At 56.5% G+C, this 17,066-nt stretch overlaps 1 protein-coding gene across 2 annotated transcripts in view, besides 3 other annotated features; it reads right to left on the bottom strand.

Moving 5' to 3' along the window:
* Window positions 1-327: 327 nt before the first annotated feature.
* Window positions 328-17,066, bottom strand: part of SRRM3 (serine/arginine repetitive matrix 3) — an 85,392-nt gene continuing 68,653 nt past the window's right edge. Inside the window, exons 12-16 of one of the 2 annotated variants that reach the window (NM_001291831.2) lie at window positions 5,813-6,174; window positions 4,743-4,967; window positions 4,514-4,651; window positions 4,013-4,091; window positions 328-2,000 (exon numbers count right to left, since the gene is read on the bottom strand). In NM_001291831.2, the coding sequence (NP_001278760.1) occupies window positions 1,788-2,000; window positions 4,013-4,091; window positions 4,514-4,651; window positions 4,743-4,967; window positions 5,813-6,174 (1,017 nt within the window). In that variant the 3' untranslated portion in view covers window positions 328-1,787. The remainder of the gene's footprint in view (window positions 2,001-4,012; window positions 4,092-4,513; window positions 4,652-4,742; window positions 4,968-5,812; window positions 6,175-17,066) is intronic. The other variant, NM_001110199.3, reaches the window with a different exon arrangement.
* Window positions 8,770-8,819: a silencer, noted in NCBI's record as "silent region_18310". NCBI's record gives its function as "represses an Ori minimal core promoter by ATAC-STARR-seq in GM12878 lymphoblastoid cells {active_cell/tissue: GM12878}" and the evidence as "EXISTENCE:reporter gene assay evidence [ECO:0000049][PMID:35858748]".
* Window positions 14,389-14,478: an enhancer, noted in NCBI's record as "active region_26195". NCBI's record gives its function as "activates an Ori minimal core promoter by ATAC-STARR-seq in GM12878 lymphoblastoid cells {active_cell/tissue: GM12878}" and the evidence as "EXISTENCE:reporter gene assay evidence [ECO:0000049][PMID:35858748]".
* Window positions 14,489-14,598: an enhancer, noted in NCBI's record as "active region_26194". NCBI's record gives its function as "activates an Ori minimal core promoter by ATAC-STARR-seq in GM12878 lymphoblastoid cells {active_cell/tissue: GM12878}" and the evidence as "EXISTENCE:reporter gene assay evidence [ECO:0000049][PMID:35858748]".

The following is a 17,066-nucleotide window of genomic DNA, read 5'->3' as shown; positions in this document are numbered from 1 at the left end:
CCACCCTGTGTCTCCTCCCTCTACCCCATCCCTACCCACTGCTGAAGGTAGCCTGGGTGTGTGGGCTCAGGCAGCCCACCCCGTGGGATGTTCAAAGTCCACCCGGCCTCCAGGCTGGGAGGAAGGTCTCTTTGGGTCCCTGTTTTAGCCTCAAGCTCAGAGGCAGGGGGATAGACACACTGGCTCCTGGATGCCAGCTCTTCTCTCTGGGGTCCCAAGGAGCAGTCTGAGCCTTTCGCCTCCCTCAGAGGAAGACCCCAGCCCCGCTGCCCTCCTGAATCTCCCGGGGTGCCAACATGCACAGAGGCCTGGTCTCACCACCTACCATCCGGGCACCAAGGGTTTTATTCGAGTCCAATTTTTATCCGCACTGCGGAGAAAGAGGGAGGGGGGACATAGAGAAAGCGGGGAACCCGGACCAGACCCCAGACCCCTCCCCCCACTGGAGCCCGGGGCATCTGCCTGGTTGGGCCAAGGAAGACTTCATGAGATCCCTGAGGGCCCCAGGAGGAGGGGGCTGGGAGCAGCAGAAGAGGACTGGGGGCCACCGCTTCCCCATCGACGCCCCAGGCCAGGGCCCTCAGTCTCTTTCCTCCCCTCCCTTCTGAGGGCTGTAGCCTCCATCTCTACAGAGGCTCGGCTGGCCATGACCCCATCAGACCCCCAAGGTACTCCCTTGTCAGGTCCAAAGCACATGTTATCCTATGCCTGTGACCCTGGGCTGCCATCCAGCCCACGTCCCAGACCACAGGCACACGCTGCCCTCCTCTTGGGTGGGGCTGGGGGCACTGCTGACCTGTCAGCTGCTCCCTCCCCAGGGACCCGTCTCCACTCCCTGGGGGCTACTCAGTCAGTGAACGACTTTGCTTTTTCTCTTTCCTACAGATTCCACCTCCCATCTACCCCTTTCCTCTCCCACCTCTTGACCTGAACCCCTTTTAACCTCAGGGTCAAATGTACCTGAGGTCTGTACCCCCCACCTCTTGTCATGCAGTAGTCATGGCTGGTAGGACCTTGGCCCAGGGCATGGGGTGAGGAGAGCCTGGCCTGGAGAGGTCAGACCAAGAGTGAGGTGCCTAGCTCCCCAGGCTGGGATTTTGGGGGCCACCCGTCTGGGCACTCCTGGGTCAGTGGAGGAGCTTGGGGGAGGCTGTGGGGCCAGCCACCAGCCCTCAGCCAGGGTCCTCCTGCAGCCAGCTCAAAAGGATGCAGCTCCCCAGCTTGGATGGGGGTGCACCAAGGGTTAGGCTGTTCTTCCTTCTGTCTAGCTCCAAACCCATGTGCTGTACCACCTCCTCGTCTGCCCAGTGATAAGAGAGGAGTGGAGGGAGCTGTGTAGTGCGGAAGAGGGGCTCCCAGGGCTGGCACCTTGCAAGGTGTCCCTGGCTGCACTGAGCTAAGGTGAAGTGACAGAGCAGATCATGGACTCTGGTACCATCCACCGGCAGCAGTCCCAAGCCTGGTGAGTTGGCATCAGCAGGAAGGGGGATGGGGAGATTCCTGTGTTCGTAACGGCTCTTTGTTCCCCGGGCACAGTGGGTGGACAGGAGGTGGGAGAGGACACCCGTAGAAGCAGCACATCTGGCTTCTCCTTGTCCACTGGATGCCCACCCTCAAAGTCTTCCCCGGTCCCATCTGCCCGTGCACTGGCCCTGAGACCTCTTTGTAGCCTTGGGGGCAAGGAGATATAGCCCCCTCCCCACTGGGGTCCTGGGGCCCGCCCCTCGCCTCTCCCAGTGCCAGGGGGGCACCAAGCTGAGTCTGTCTGGGCTCAGAAGCCCCCGCTCTCAGAGCTGCTCCGGCTGTGGTAGCTGGGACTGGGGGTCCTCGAGGGGCTGCGTGTCCGGCTGCGGGTCCCATGGCTGCGACTGCTGTAGCTCCCGTGGCTGTGGCCGGGGCTGGGGCTGCGGCTGTGGCTCCGGGTCGAGTAGTCGCTGCTCAAGCAGCTGGAGGAGGAAGAGGGGCTGGGCCGGTAGTATGGAATAGGACGCTTGCGGGCGCTGCCGGGAAGAAAAAGCTGATTACAGGCCATCCCAGGCCCCGAGCCCCATCCCAGCAGCGGCCAGGGCTTCCTGCCTCAGTTTCCCCTGAGCCCTGGCCTTAGAGACACCTGCCTTCTCCAAATGGAATCTGACGGTCATTGGTTACTTGCAAATTCCATGTTGATCATTTTGCTTTTCTTCACCTATCTGCAGGGAAAGGAGACCATGTCTCTGCCCGATCCGAACACCTGCTAATAAATACTTGTTGAGGCTGGGCGCGGTGGCTCACGCCTGTAATCCCAGCACTTTGGGAGGCTGAGGCGGGCGGATCACTTGAGGTCAGAAGTTTGAGACCAGTCTGGCCAACATAATGAAACCCTGTCTCTACTAAAAATACAAACATTTGCCGGGCATGGTGGTGTGCACCTGTAATCCCAGCTACTTGGGAGGCTGAGGTGGGAGGATCGCTTGAACCCCAGAGGCGGAGGCTGCAGTGAGTGGAGATTGCGCCACTGCACTCCAGCCTGGGTGACAGAGTGAGACTCCGTCTCAAAAAAAAAAACTTGTTGAATGAATGAAACTTGCAAATGTGGACAGCTCCCATCACCCAAGCTGGCGTGTAAGTGTCTGTGACTACGTCCCAGCCCTGCCTCTCTGTTCCCCTGTCCCCTCTGCAATCAAGGAATTTGTTGCTTTCAGGTCACTCGAAAGGAACAAGGAGGGGAGTCCTGGCCGCTGCTCCCCATGCCCACGGTCCGGTCCAGTCCCGCCGGCCCCACTCCTCACTCAGCTACCTCCCGCTGGCCCAGAGTTAGTTGGAAGCCAGGAGGCTATGACCCAGAGAAGAGAAAAGAGAGGTTAAGGGGCAACACTGCCCCGTCGCAGGGTTAATTCTGAGGAAGAAAACAGGTGTACGTTAGTGGAGGAGGAGGCAGCCTGGGAGAGGGGCTGAGTGGGTGCCAGGTGGAAGGTGTGAGGGCCTGGCCTACGGGCAGGGTGTGTGACCTGTCTGGGGGCGTCCCCAGCCTGGTGAGTTGGCATCAGAAGGAAGGGGGGACGCAGGAAGATCCCTGGGTTCAAAATGGCTCTTTGTTCCTTGGGCACGGTGGCTGGACAGGAGGTGGGAGAGGACATCCGTTAGAAGTAGGACAATTTGGTCGGGCGCGGGGGCTCACGCCTATAATCCCACCACTTTGGGAGGCCAAGGCAGGTGGATCACCTGAGGTCAGGAGTTTGAGACCAGCCTGACTAACATGGTGAAACCCCGTCTCTACTAAAAATACAAAAAAAATTAGCTGGGCGTGGTGGTGGGTGCCTGTAATGCCAGCTACTTGGGAGGCTGAGGCAGGAGAATCACTTAAACCTGGGAGGTGGAGGTTGCAGTGAGCCGAGATTGCACCATTGCACTCCAGCCTGGGTGACAAGAGCAAAGCTCCGTCTTAAAAAAAAAAAAAAAAAAAGAAGCAGTAGCACAATCTGGCTTCTCCTTCAAGGCGGTCTGGCTTTGAGCTCTGGGGTAATGCCCACCCCATGCTTCTTGGTTACCTGGATCACCAAGGACTAGGAGGGACTAGTTTGATAATCATACCCTGTTAGAACTGAAAAGATGCTCACGAAACCCTGGTTATTGTACAGATGTGGCAACCGAGGCCCAGAGAGGCACACCGATCTCCCAAGGCTGCCCAGCAAGGCAGTGGCAGAGTTGGGCTCAGAACTTTTTGCCTGTGTTCCCCCCAACCCCCTGCCAGGGTAATCTAGGGCTTCAGGGTGATTTCCACAAAGGCAGACCATAATGTCACCCGGAGACCCAGGCCCAGACACTTCCAGTCCTAGCAGAGAAACTGATAATGGCTTCACCAGCCACGCCCTGGGCACAGCCCCACAGCTGTGTAGGGCAAGGAGGTGTGGCTGGCTCCTCTGACAGCTGCCCCAGAGACCAGACTGCTGTGCCCCCTCCTCCAAATCCCCCAGGTTAGTGAGAAAGAGAGAGGCAGACAGACGGACAGCTGACCAGGGCCAGACCAGCTCACTTGGGCATCTCCCAGGCAGCCTGTGCAGAGGGGTCCGCCTGGCCCCCAGGCTGACCACAGGCCACTCAGCAGGCTGGACCTTGAGATGAAGGAGAAAAGGAGACATCATTGTCCGGAGACGGATGCAGGGAGGGCGGGAGGGGCTCCGGAGGGATGGCGGGACTCTTGCAGAGCTGAATTCCATGCCGGCTGCGGCCCACCCAGACCCAAGTACAGAGCCCCCTCCCCTTCATGGGCCCTCAGGCCCCCACCGTGGCCCTTCCTTCTGCGTGGCCTCCTGCACCTGTCTCTCTGATAGACCCCAGCACCTCCAGTTCTAGCCCCCTCCTCCCCTGGCCCCCTACCCTGGCAGAACCCACTCATTGTCCCTTAGCACCCCCCCCCATCCCCGTGCCAGGTTCAGTGGATCCTCAGAGAAGGTCCCCGGGCCGAGGTCTCTGTCCCTGATCCGGGTCAGCGGCCCCAGCCCTGCGCCACCGGCCCCCCCAAGACCCTCCATACCTGGTGATGCGCCGCGGCTCCATGAAGCTTGGCGAGTCCCGGCGCCGCTTGCGGATGGGCGAGTAGCTGCGGGAGCGGCGCCGGGCGCGGGTGGCCTCGGCCTCAGAGTGCCTTGCGCGGCCCTCGCCGTCCTTGTCCCTGCGGGGCCGGCGCGAGGTAAGTGAGCGACGCGGCCCGGCCGCTCCACCCCGCCGCCCGCCCCGTCGGCCCGGTCCGGGCGGGCACTCACCGGCTGAGGGGCTTCTTGGGCGACGGCGAGCGGCTGGGGCTGTGGGGCCGCTTCTCCGCAGAGCGCGAGCGAGATTTGGAGGGCGAGCGGCTGGAGCTCCAGGAGCGGGGGTGCGGGCCGGGGCTGCGCGACGAGCTCTTCCCTTCTGGGCCGCCGCGCCGGCCGTGCGCGCCCGGGGACGGAGAGGTGCTGGCGGGCCGCGCGCGCGGGGGCCGCTCCTTGGCCCTGGAGGAGGGAGACGGCGCGGGATAGGGCTCAGCGACCCGGAAAGGGGGCTGGGGGCGGGGAGGGTTCCCTGGGGCGGGGCTTAGGGCGGAGGGGCGGGGTCCGTGTAGTTTGTGGTCAGTTCGCGCGGAGTGCGCAGTGAACGCGGAGCCTAGTGAGGGGCAGGGGTCAGTTCAGGGGGAGCCCCGTGAGGGGGCGTGTTGGGGGAGATCAGTGGAGGAGATTGTTCTGCGGGATGGGGGGAGAGTGATCAGTAAGCGGGGAGCCTCATGGGAGGAGAGGGGGTTCCCTGGGGGCAGTGATCAGTAAGGGGAGACGGATCAGTTGTGGGGAGGGGTCAGGATAACCGGGGGTAGCTCAGGGTGGGGAGGGAGCTCCCTGGGGGGTTGGCATCAGTGGAGGGAGAACTCCGTCGGGGGGCTGGGATCAGTGTGGGGAGGGAAACTCCCTGGAGTTTGGAGGTCAGTGGAGGGAGGGTAACTCCCTAGAGAGAGTTGGGGTCGTCGAGGGAGGGAGCCCTGTGAGAGGGGAGTTGAGATCAGTGTGCGGAGGAAATCCATGGGAGGATCCATGGGGTCCATAGGGGTTTGGGGTCCGTGGAGAGGGAGGAGAGCTCCGTGGGGGGTTGAGATCCGTGGGGGGTAGTTCAGTGAGGAGGGGTTGGGATCCGTGGGGGGTAGCTCATGGGGGGGTGGAATCCATGGGGGTAGCTCGGTGGGAGGGGGTTGGGATCCCTGGAGGGTAGCTCAGCGCGGGGAGGGATCCCGTGGGCAGGGATCCGCTAGTGGAGGGGAGCCCTGTGCGGGGTGGGGGCGGGAGTCCAGCTCCGGGTCCAGCACGCTCACCGTTTCCCGTGTCCGCCGTGGCCTCGCTCAGAGCCGGGCTCGGGCCCGGGGCCGGGGGCGCCGCGGCCGCTGCCGGAGTCGCTGCTGGAGCGGGCCCTGCTGAGCGAGCGCGACGAGCCCCGGGGGGGCGCGGGCCGGGGGCGCCGGCGACCCCTGCGGCGGGGCGCGGACGCCGAGGACCGCGAGCGCCGCCGCCTACGCCGCCGCCGCCGCCGCCTGCCCGCCCCGCCCGCCGCGCGGCCTCCGCGACCTTGGGACGACGGCGCCGAGCGCGGGCTCGGGCTCTCCTTCCCCCGCGCGGGCGGCGTGGGTGCGGCGGCCGCCGCCTTGTCACGGACCCTGGGCGAGGGCGAGCTGGGCTTCTGACGGGGAGAGAGGCAGACAGGGCACGGAGGGGGGAGAGGGAGACGAGAGAGACAGAGACAGAGAGAGAAGAGAGGAGACAGACGGGAGAGAGAGATTGAAAGAAAGAGACAGAGACAGAGACAGAAAGAGGAAAGAGGGAGAGACAGAGACAGAAAGAGAGGAGAGAGAGAGAGACAGAGAGACAGAAAAAGAGCGAGAGACAGAGAAAAAGAGACGGAGAGAGAGAATGAAGAGAGACAGGAGAGAGGGAGAGAGGAAAGACAGAGAGAAGAAAGAAAGAGGGAGAGAGGGAGGAGGCAGAGAAGAGAAAGAGGAAGAGAGAAAAAGAGCAGGAGAGAGACAGAGTGAGAGGGAGAGAGATGAGAAAGAGAGAGGGCGAAAGAGCGAGGGTGAGAGGAGAGAGCAAGGGAGGAGAGAGGGAGGAGAAGGAAAAAAGGGGGCAAGAGAGAAGGGGACAGAGACAGTGAGAAGAAGAGACAGAGGAGAGACGGGGGTGGGGGAAGAGAAGAGAGAGAGAGGAAGAGAGAAAGAGCGAAGAGAGAGAAGGATGGAAGCCAGGGAGAAGTTCGAGAAACAGAAAAAATCCAGACAGGCAGGGGACAAGAGTGGGGGCAGAGAGAGGACAGAGCAAGAGGAGCGAGAAGTTGGGGTGAGAGAGCGGGCGGGTGGGGTGGGGGGAGAGAAGGAGAGAGGGCTTTCACCGGGCCCGAGCCGGGGGCTGCCAGTCCCGGAGCATCGCACACACGGTTCCCCGCGCCTGCCCTGCCTCTGCCTCTCCTGGGTGTCCACCTTCTGGCCTCAACAGTGCAGCTCATGCAGGGTTCTTGGCATGCAAAACACAAGAGGGACGGAGCGGTGGGGGGCGGGGGCCAAAGGGGGAGGGGCTCCAGGACAGGCATCGGGGCTGGCATTGCCCCCCCGATGGGACGGACGATTCCCGGCAGAGAGAAGAGAGAGCGGCACCGGGAGCGGGGCCAGGGCCAGCCCACCAGGCCGGACCCCCAGCGCTTGGGGGTGGGCGAGGGGATGGAGGGGGTGGGGGCGTCACACGGCACACAGATGGGGGAGGGGGCGAGGGGGACAACTGAACTCAAAACTGAACCGAAGAAAGGGAGGAAAAACAGAAATAAAAAAACAAAATCCACAAATGTCATTAGATACCAAAAATCAAAAACAATATCTGATCCTGGGGAACCTGACATTTTTCTGTTAATATTTTTCTTTGTTTTCCGGCCCTGCAGAGAGCTTTGGAGCTGTCAGTAGCACCCGACTGTCTTTCTGTTTCTCTCTTTTCTTTTTCTTTTTCTTTTTTTTTTTTTTAAGTTCTGATTTTTAAGTCCCTCTTGGTTAACGTCCACTTACCAATAAAGTGGCACTTCCTCCTTTAGTAGGTAAGGTGTGTAAGAGAAGGGAAAAGTGTGGTAGTATAAGTTCATCATTAGATTCACAAAAATGCAAGAGAGATAGAGAGAGAGAGAGAGAAACGCAACCACCCCATTCTAGGCCTGAGAAGAGGCCACGCCGCCTCTGGAGGAAGGGCTGGCAGCGCCCGGCTCCTGAGTGGGCAACTCTTAGGTGACCGCTGGATAGAGGTGGCAAATGTTTTTCCAAAAGTGGAGTTAGGACACAAGGATTGGGACACAGAAAACCAGGAAGGGCATCTGGCACCATCAAAAGGGCCCTGGTTGGGATTCAGGAGTCTGAGAGCCTGCCTCTATCTCACCGAGTGACCCTGGCCACGTCACTTCCCCAGTCTGGGCCTCAGTTTCTCCATCCACAAAATGAGAGGGTTGGCTTTTGCTTCCTGGTGTCCCTTCCAGGGCAAAGATTCCAGGATTCTCTGCATGCACCCTGCCCGCCCTCCCTGTCTCCCTCCCTACACAGAGCTGATCCCTCCTCCTGTCCTTGGCCCTCCATCTAGTAGCAGTTGACTGTCCTTGTCTGTTTGTAGGTCTGTTCCTCCCCGAAAATCCTCCGATCACCACTACCAACTTGACTTTTAGCACCTCCAGGGCAGATGTGGTATCTGATTCACCTCTGTAACATCACTTTTTATCACCGAACTTGGCACCTAGTAAAACTTTGATTCTGTTTGCTAAGGAAGGAAGCGAGTCCTAGAAGCCAGGTGGTGCCTGGACCAAGCTCTTTTGGCAGGCTGTTTCTTTTTTCTTTCTTTTTGAGAAGGCATCTCACTCTGTCTCTCAGGCTGGAGTGCACTGGCGTGATCTGGGCTCACTGCAACCTCTCCCTCCCAAGTTCAAGCAATTCTCCTTCCTCAGCCTCCCAAATAGCTGGAACTACAGGCGTCTGTCACCACATCTGGCTAATTTTTGTATTTTTAGGAGAGACGGGGTTTCACCGTGTTGGCCAGGCTGGTGCTGGTCTCGAACTCCTGACCTCAAGTGATCCTCTGTCCTCAGCCTCCCAAAGTGCTGGGATTACAGGCGAGAGCCACCGAGCCCGGCCACTGGCAGACTGTTTGGATGAGAAGACAAAAGATGCTGCCACCTCTCAGGGCACCTTGCCGCTAGGGACTGGAAGGAGCACAGTTTCCTTGGCATGGCCCTGGGTGTTTCCTACAGAGGGCAAGGTGCTGTCCAAGCCTTTCCCTGCAGGGCTGGAGCTGAGCTGAACATGGAGGTAGACCCAGGAGGTCAACCTCATTGGTGGAAAGGCACAGATGGCTCCTGATTGGTGCCTGAAGCAGCCAATGAACACTAGCCATAGCTGCCCAAAGCCAATCAGGCCATGAAGACCTCTCCTGGGAGAGCTTAATGTCTCCATTTGGGGCAGACACAGGCATAAGTGGGCACAATGGATATTTCCTGGTTTTGGGGTGCCCCTCTGAGCACCCCTGACTCTCCTGATCACAAGCTCACCCCTCACCCTAGGCTAGGAGAGTTGGAGGCTGGATTGGCCCCTCTTTCATTTTTATTTTTTTATTATTTTTGAGACAGAGTCTCGCTCTGCTGCCCAGGCTGGAGTGCAGTGGCACGACCTCAGCTCACTGCAACCTCTGCTTCCCGGGTTCAAGCGATTCTCCTGCTTCAGCCTCCCAAGTAGCTGGGATTACAGGTGCCCGCCACCACGCCTGGCTAATTTTTATATTTTTAGTAGAGACAGGGTTTCACCAAGTTGGCCAGGCTGGTCTTGAGCCCCTGACCTCAGGTGATCCACCTGCCTCGGCCTCCCAAAGTGCTGGGATTACAGGTGTGAGCCATCGTGCCCGGCCTTGGGTTGGCCCCTCTGAGATGGCAGTTGTGTTCTCAACAGGAGACCATCAGCTCCCCTAACACATACTCCCCCCACTCCAGGAGGCAGCCAGGCAGCCAGTGCCCCAGAACTTTCAAGCGCCCCCAGCCCACCATTCTTTTCCCTCAACAGGAGGCAAATGAGAACTTCTCTGGGATTTTTATATTTGCAGTTTCTGTCCTATACCCTGGGTCGTCAAAGAGTGCAAAGTGAACACATATGAGGTGGGGGAAGCTTGGGAGCCAATTCACAGTAGTGCATAACTCAAGCTGACGCTGGTCTCCTTCTTTAAGAAATCTTTGCTTGCTACTTTGGTTAGGGGAGGCAGTGCAGCAGGGCAGAGTACGGAACTTAGGAATCAGCCTGGCTGTGAACCCTGGCTCCAACTCTGGAGTTTGAACCTGAGCCAGCTACTTCTTCTTTTTCTTTTCTTTCTTTCTCTCTCTCTCTTTTTTTTTTTTTTTTTTTGTTGTTGTTTATTTGTTTTGAGACAGAGTCTCACTCTATTGCCCAGGCTGGAGTGCAATGGCACGATCTTGGCTCACTGTAACCTCCACCTGCCAGGTTCAAGTGATTCTCCTGCCTCAGCCTCCTGAGTAGCTAAGGGATTACAGGCGTGAGCCACCATGTCAAGCTAATTTTTTTGTATTTTTAGTAGAGACGGGGTTTCACCATGTTGGCCAGGCTGGTCTCGAATTCCTGGCCTCAAGCGATCCACCTGCCTTGGCCTCCTAAAGTGCTGGAATTACAGGCATGAGCCACCCCGCCTGGCCTGAGCCAGCTGCTTCTGACTCAAAGAAAGGAGCCAACAGTAGGCGAGGAAGACCACAGGCCGTGATGGGTCCTTCCCACAGATACTGCAGAACCCTCCTGACTTCCCACTACATTATGCTGAGAGTGGGATGGGAGTGTTAGGAGCAAAAAGGGTCTAGGTTGGATGGCTGTTCACCCCCATCATGGTCCTGTCCCCTACCATCAAGGTCCAAGCCCCCAAGTCCAATCCCCTGTGCTGATCCAGATCCTTCCTGCCTGCTATTTTTGAAGACCAAGTTCTTCCCCACTTCCTTCTCATCTCCTCCAAGTCACGGGCCTGCCATGGCCCAAGATGATAGTCACTGGAAAAGTGGAACACCCTGGAATCGGCCCTGGTGTGAGTTTGTTGTGACGCCTTAAGGCAGTCACCTGACGGTGGGGAGCCTCAGTTTCCCCATTGGTAAAATGAGGATAAGCGGAGTCTTTGCTGGGTCAGCCTATATTGGGGTTGGGAGACTTTTCAGAGTACAACCAACTCATGGTCCTTTCACAGGGTCAGAGCAGTGCAGGAAGGACTGGGGGACCCTATGCGGTGTCCACCAAGTACCAAGATGGCAGAGGATGGGAGGAAGGCACCTCTCATGTCCTTCTCCACCCATCCCTCTGGAAGTCCTCAGGAAGGGGTCACCATGCGCCTGCCAGAGTCTGAGCCTCGTCCTCAGCTTGGCTGGGTCTCATGCTTCCTGGGAAGATCCAAGGCCAAGCACTATGGGATTTCATAGGATGCTCAGAGACCTCCGAACCTCCCCTCCAGGAAGCTGCTTTTTGTGCCTTGGTGCCTCTTGCAGGGATCCCCTCTCCCCACCTCCCACCCACAGCCTGGCTAATGCCTATTGGCATCCCTACCCTCAGCTCCAGGGCGCCTTTTCCAGGCTGCATCACGTCCGCTCCTCTATGATCCCATAGAACCTGGTTCCTTCCTTCCATATGGACTCTGCCAGGCCGTGCTAGCCAGGGGGCTGCCGTGGTGAGCAGGAGCTTCCCACTCACATTTCAGCTTTTCCCCTCTCATCATGCTCAGTGGTCTTCGTCCGTCCTCCATCCTGGGAGGCCCAGGTCTGCCTGCCTCTCTCCTGGCATGGACATCCAGATGGGGCCTGGCACAAAGGAGGTGCTGGGCACATGTCTGCTTAGTGTGTGTGGGAACGAATGAATGAGTGAGTGAGTGAGTGAATCAGGGACCTCGCCTGCCTCTGAGCCCTGTTCCCAGGAGCCCCTCCTCTCCTTTTTATGACTTGCTACCTGACATGTTTTCTTTTGCTTGTGTAATATATATATATATATATTTTTTGAGATGGGGGTCTGGCTCTGCTGCCCAGACTGGAGTACAATGGTGCAATCATAGCTCACTGCAGCCTCCAACTCCTGAGCTCAAGTGATCCCCCCACCTCAGCCTCCTCAGTAGCTGGGTCTACAGGTACACACCGCCATGTCTGGCTATTTATTTTATTTTATTTTTAGTAGAGATGGGGTCTTGCTGTGTTGCTCAGGCTGGTCTCAAACTCCTGGCCTCAAGTGATCCTCCTGCCTCGGCCTCCTAAAGCATTGGGATTACAGGCATGAGCCACTGGGCCCAACCTTTGGGTAAGAAATTTCTGAGGGTCAAGTGGAAAAGATGGTGGAAGGGAGTAGCAAGGGGCAGTGTGTTCACCTGGTCCTGGTACTCTGAAGGACAAGAACAGGTAAACACCTGAGATGTTTTACTCTTGCTTCCTTTGAGGACTTAGATGACCACCCAACTCGTGGGTCCCTGGTCATATCAGAAACTCCTCAAGGACGGACCCTCCTCTTCCTCATGGGGCTTCAACACAGTTTCTCCTGTCAGATCACCAGCACTTTCCTTCTTTTCTTTTCTTTTTTTTTTTTTTTTTTTTGAGGGAGCAGGGACTGAGTCTCGCTCTGTTGCCCAGGCTGGAGTGCAGTGGTGCAGTCATGGTTCACTGTAGCCTCAAATTCCTGGGCTCAAGCGATACCCCTGCCTTAGCCTCCTGAGTAGCTGGGACTACAGGTGGTACCACCTCGCCTAGCTTGCCCTTTCTTCCTTTCCAAGAGCCACTTGCTGTCTGCCCTCCTGGCACCACCCAGTGTTGAGGAGGATGCTCTGAGTGGGTGAGCTCCCTGACACCTGCCTCCGGGATAAACATGGGGTGGGGTAGGGATGAGTGGCTGGGCCTTCTCTTTTCAAAGCTGAAGATAGAAGCCCGTGTAGGCCTCATAATGGTTGGAATGCTGAATGTCTTTTTCTTTTTCTTTTTTTTTTTTTTTTGAGACTGAGTCTTGTTCTGTCACCCATGCTGGAGTGCAGTGGCACGATCTAGGCTCACTGCAGCCTCTGCCTCCCGGGTTCAAGCGATCCTCCTGCCTCAGCCTCCCAAGTAGCTGGGATTACAGGCATGTAACACCATGCCCGGCTAATTTTTGTATTTTTAGTAGAGATGGGGTTTTGCCATGTTGGCCAGGCTGGTCTCAAACTCCAGACCTCAAGTGATCCGCCCACCTCGGCCTCCCAGAGTGCTGGGATTACAGGCGTGAGCCACTGCACCTGGCCAGAATGCCAAATTTCTGTAGCTGCTCCCAGGTGGGAAAGGAAACAGTTTAAAGGGCAGGGGTGCGGAGGTGGGGTCCCCTAGGGTCCACCTCTGACTCTAGTACCCTCAGTGTGGCTGGATGAGCCCTGGGCTGGGAGTCACAAGTCCCAGGACCTAGTCCTGGTTCTGCCGCTGCACCCTGTGGGCCCCTAGTCCCTGCTGGCTGTTCTTTTGGAATTGTTCTGCTCTGAGGGTTCACATTAAGCTGCTCAAATTCAGAAGATGGAAGGATGCTGAGGGTAGAAGGAGCCCCTGTCTGAGTTGGATCATGGACCAGGCAGCGGGCAGGTAAATTACCTGTAAATTGTCTCACAGAGACTTTGCTAAGTAGGCCTTCTAGGTCTCAAACCTGCTCCTGGCCAGCTCACTGCCCTGCCCACTGCCACCCCAAATGAATCTACTAATTGCACCCAATAGATGGAAGCTGGAAGCTCAGTCCTGGTGCCCGTTGCTCCTCCAGAGCCCTGCAGCTCCCACCCCAAAGCTCCATCCTGCAGCCAGGGAAGGACTTGAGGAAGCCCAGAGTTCCGTTTGGCCCAGTAGGCCCCCAAGGATGGGATGGGGCTTTTCCCTTGTGCCTGACCTTGGCCAGAACTTCCTCCAGGATCTGAAGGCCAGGAGGCCCCGCACTGGCTCCTCTGTCACTGCCTTTTGCCCGAAAGGGCCCTGAAGGCCAGCGGGGTGACCGAAGTCCCGGGGGCTGGCAGGGATGAAGGGTGAGGAGGGGCTTCGCAGCTACTCCAGACAACAGAAATCAAATTGGCTTCACTGCAGCATACAGTTCAGGAAAGAAACACAAACTTGGAATGCTAAACCACACAGAAATGCATTCGGACAACAGAATGAGAAAGAAGGCGTGAAGGAGGATTTAGGGGTGGAAGTCAGGGATGGAGAGGAAGAAGGAGGGAACAAGGAAGGTGAAGAAGGAGGGGAGATGGGCTAGAAAAGTTGGTCGGGGAAAGTCAAGAAAACCAAATGACAAACCAGGAAACATAGCTTTGTAGCTCATTTGAAGAAAGTGCAAGTTACAAATGAGTAGTCACTAAAATAAAGAAAGAAAAGGGAGGAATATGAAACCAACCAGGGCAAGATTGAGAGAGAGAAAGAAAACCACATTCAAACCAAGCAAAGTGGCAGGGCTTATCTGGAGATGGGAGCGAGAGCGCACAGCGGAGCTGGGATACCTACCTTCTCAGTGCTCAGGGACAGGAATGCAATAATAAAAAAGAAAAGAAGGTCTCCGCATTGGGAATGCAGAATGGGGGAAAGACAGTGACCCTAAACTGTGCTCCCCCTCTGAGCCAGTAGATGGGTGGCCAATGTGGCTTTTGTCTCATCCCAGGGATGGGAGGGGGCTCTTGCACGGCCATTTCTGTTTGCTCTTTTTTTTTTCTCCTTTTTAAACAATGGGTTCCACTAGCCAAGCTTTCTTTATTGTTCAAACAACAGAAAACCTCCATAGAGCATGCAGGAAGCAGCTGATGGAAGAGAACCACAGGGTGGGCTACAGAGGGGCTGGCAGCATGGGAGAGAGGCCCATGCCGGGGGAGAGGGATGGAAAGGAAGAGAGAGAGACAGGAGGCAGACAGAGAGACAGACGAACAGACAAAGTCAGGCAGAGATAGAAATGGGAAGAGAAGGAGAAAGAGAAACAGAAAGACAGAAACAATGACAGAAGCAAACAGAAACAGAGAGGCAGGAAGAGAGAAAGGTGCCCCCAGACAGAAAGAGGAGACAAGCACTGTTTAAACAAGGCCAATCGGAGTGGACAGATGGGTGAAGGGAAAACGCGCATTTAAAAGGGAAGGCAACCACAGAGCCGATCTGGAGGAGTGGCCCTGCCTCAGGTCAGTCCCACTCCTTTCCCTCTGGCTTTGGCATCCTTTTAGCAAAATTCATCCCTTTTGCCTTTTTCTGTTCCTGTATAAGGCAGGTCAGGGGGTGCCTTGGCACCTCTTCTTGGGGGTCACCCGAGGCTGCCCATTACATGATAAAATTTGGACCACAGGGAGAAGCCAGAGAGAGCCCCAAGGCCATGATCCTGAGCCTTCTCTGCCACCCTCACCTAAGGGTGTCACCTTCCAGACAGCCCCGGACACTGTAGGGTTTTTTGTTTTTTGGGGTTTTTTTTTGAGATGGAGTCTCGCTCTGTCACCCAGGCTGGAGTGCAGTGGTGCGATCTCAACTTACTGCAACCTCTGCCTCCTGGGTTCAAGTGATTCTCCTGACTCAGCCTCCCGAGTAGCTGGGACTACAGACAGGATGATAGCTCACTGTAGCCTCCAACTCCTGGGCTCAAGTGATCCTCCCACCTCAGCCTTCCAAGTGGCTGGGATTGTAGGCATGCACCATCACATCTGGCTAATTAAAAAAAATTTTTTTTTTGTAGAGATAGGGGTCTTGCTATGTTGCCCAGGCTGATTTCAAACTCCTGGTCTCAAGCGATCTTCGTGCCTCGCCCTTCCAAAGTACTGGCATTACCGGCATAAGTCACTGTGCCTGCCCCATCCCCTGAAACTTCTAACGCTAGAGACTTCTAAGGTGAGCAGGTGGCCCCTGGGACAGGAATGCAATAATAAAATAGAAAAGACGGCAAACTCTGTATACTCTTTTTGGGCCTTGGGAGGGTGAGCCTAGCACCAGGTTGTGCTGGTGGGGGCTGGAGGGAGGCCAGTGAAGGCACCAGGTAAGACTGGACAGGAGGGCTTCTCCCAGGAGGTCTCCTGATCAGTATCTTCCTCTTTCATCCTACATTGTGTGACCTTGAGTGACTCTCTTCCCTCTCTGTGCCTCGATATTTATTTCCCCACATGTATGAACTGTGAGGGTTTAGGGTTCCCTGAGTCACAGAAGAAACAATCATATGAGTTTCTGTAATGTGGGGGCCACCTGCACCCAGGTCTCTCAGTGTAGGCAGACCTTGGCCTAGGGACATGAGAGAGCAGGAAGCTGATTTCTGGATGGGTCTGATGGGGGAAAGCAGGAGCTGAGTCAACCAGCAACCACCTCCCAAATCCTCCTTCTGCTCAGGGCTCGTGGACTGTGCTTCCCATTTTCCACCCTCTCCACAGCTTAGCTGGAGTCTAGAGGTCAGAGTCAGAGGGCTGGAGTCTATTTTTTGTTGTTGTTGTTGTTTGTTTTGAGACAGGGTCTTGCTCTGTTGCCCAAGCTGGAGTGCAGTGGCGCAATCATGGCTCACTGCAGCCTCAAACTTCTGGTTCAAGCAATCCTCCTGTCTCAGCCTCCTGAGTAGCTGGGATTACAGGTGTATTCCACCATGCCCAGCTTTTTCTTTTAAATTTTTGTAGTGACAGGGTCTTGCAGTGTTGCCCAGGCTGGAGTACAGTGGTGCAATCATGGCTTACTGCAGCCTTGGACTCCTGAGCTCAAGTGATTCTCCTCCCTCATCTCCCTCAGTAGATGAGACTATAGGCACATGCCACCATGCCTGGCTGATTAAAAATATATATATATTTTTTGTAGAGATACAGTCTTGTTCTGTTGACCAGTCAGTCTGGAACTGCAGGCCTCAAGTGATCCTCCTGCCTCAGCCTCCCAAAGTGCTGGGATTACAGGTGTGAGCCACTGCGCCCTGCCTGGGGTCTACTTTTGGATCTACCTCTAAATAGCTGTGTGACCTTGAGCCAGTCACTTGACCTCTCGGAGCTGCAGTTTCTCCTGTAAGCATCAGAACCCAGAAAGTCCTGTGGGGTTCAACCATCACCTGGGATGGGCCAACAAAGGGGTTTGTTGGGAGTAACCACATCACTGGCCTCAGTCTCGAGATCAAGATGGATTTTTTTTTTTTGAGACAGAGTCTCGCTCTTGTCATCCAGGCTGGAGTGCAATGGCACAATCTCAGCTCACTGCAACCTCTGCCTCCTGGGTTCAAGCGATCCTCCTGCCTCAGCCTCCCAAGTAGCTGGTTTTACAGGTGCCCACCACGCCTGGCTATTTTTTTTTTTTTTCCGAGACGGAGTCTCACTCTGTCACCTAGGCTGGAGTGCAGTGGTATGATCTCCGCTCACTGCAACCTCTGCCTCCCAGGTTCAAGTGATTTTCCTGCCTCAGCTTCCCGAGTAGCTGAGATTATAGGCATGCACCACCATGCCTGGCTAATTTTTTTGTATTTTTAGTAGAGACGGGGGTTCGCCATGTTAGCCAGGCTGGTCTCGAACTCCTGACCTCAGGTGATCTGCCCACCTCAGCCTCCCGAAGTGCTGGGATTACAGGTG

The sequence above is a fragment of the Homo sapiens genome, chromosome 7, assembly GCF_000001405.40.
Source record: "Homo sapiens chromosome 7, GRCh38.p14 Primary Assembly".
Classification (NCBI taxonomy): Eukaryota; Metazoa; Chordata; class Mammalia; order Primates; family Hominidae; genus Homo; species Homo sapiens.
Note: the sequence above shows the minus strand (reverse complement) of the source record. Positions and strands in the feature narration are given on the sequence as shown.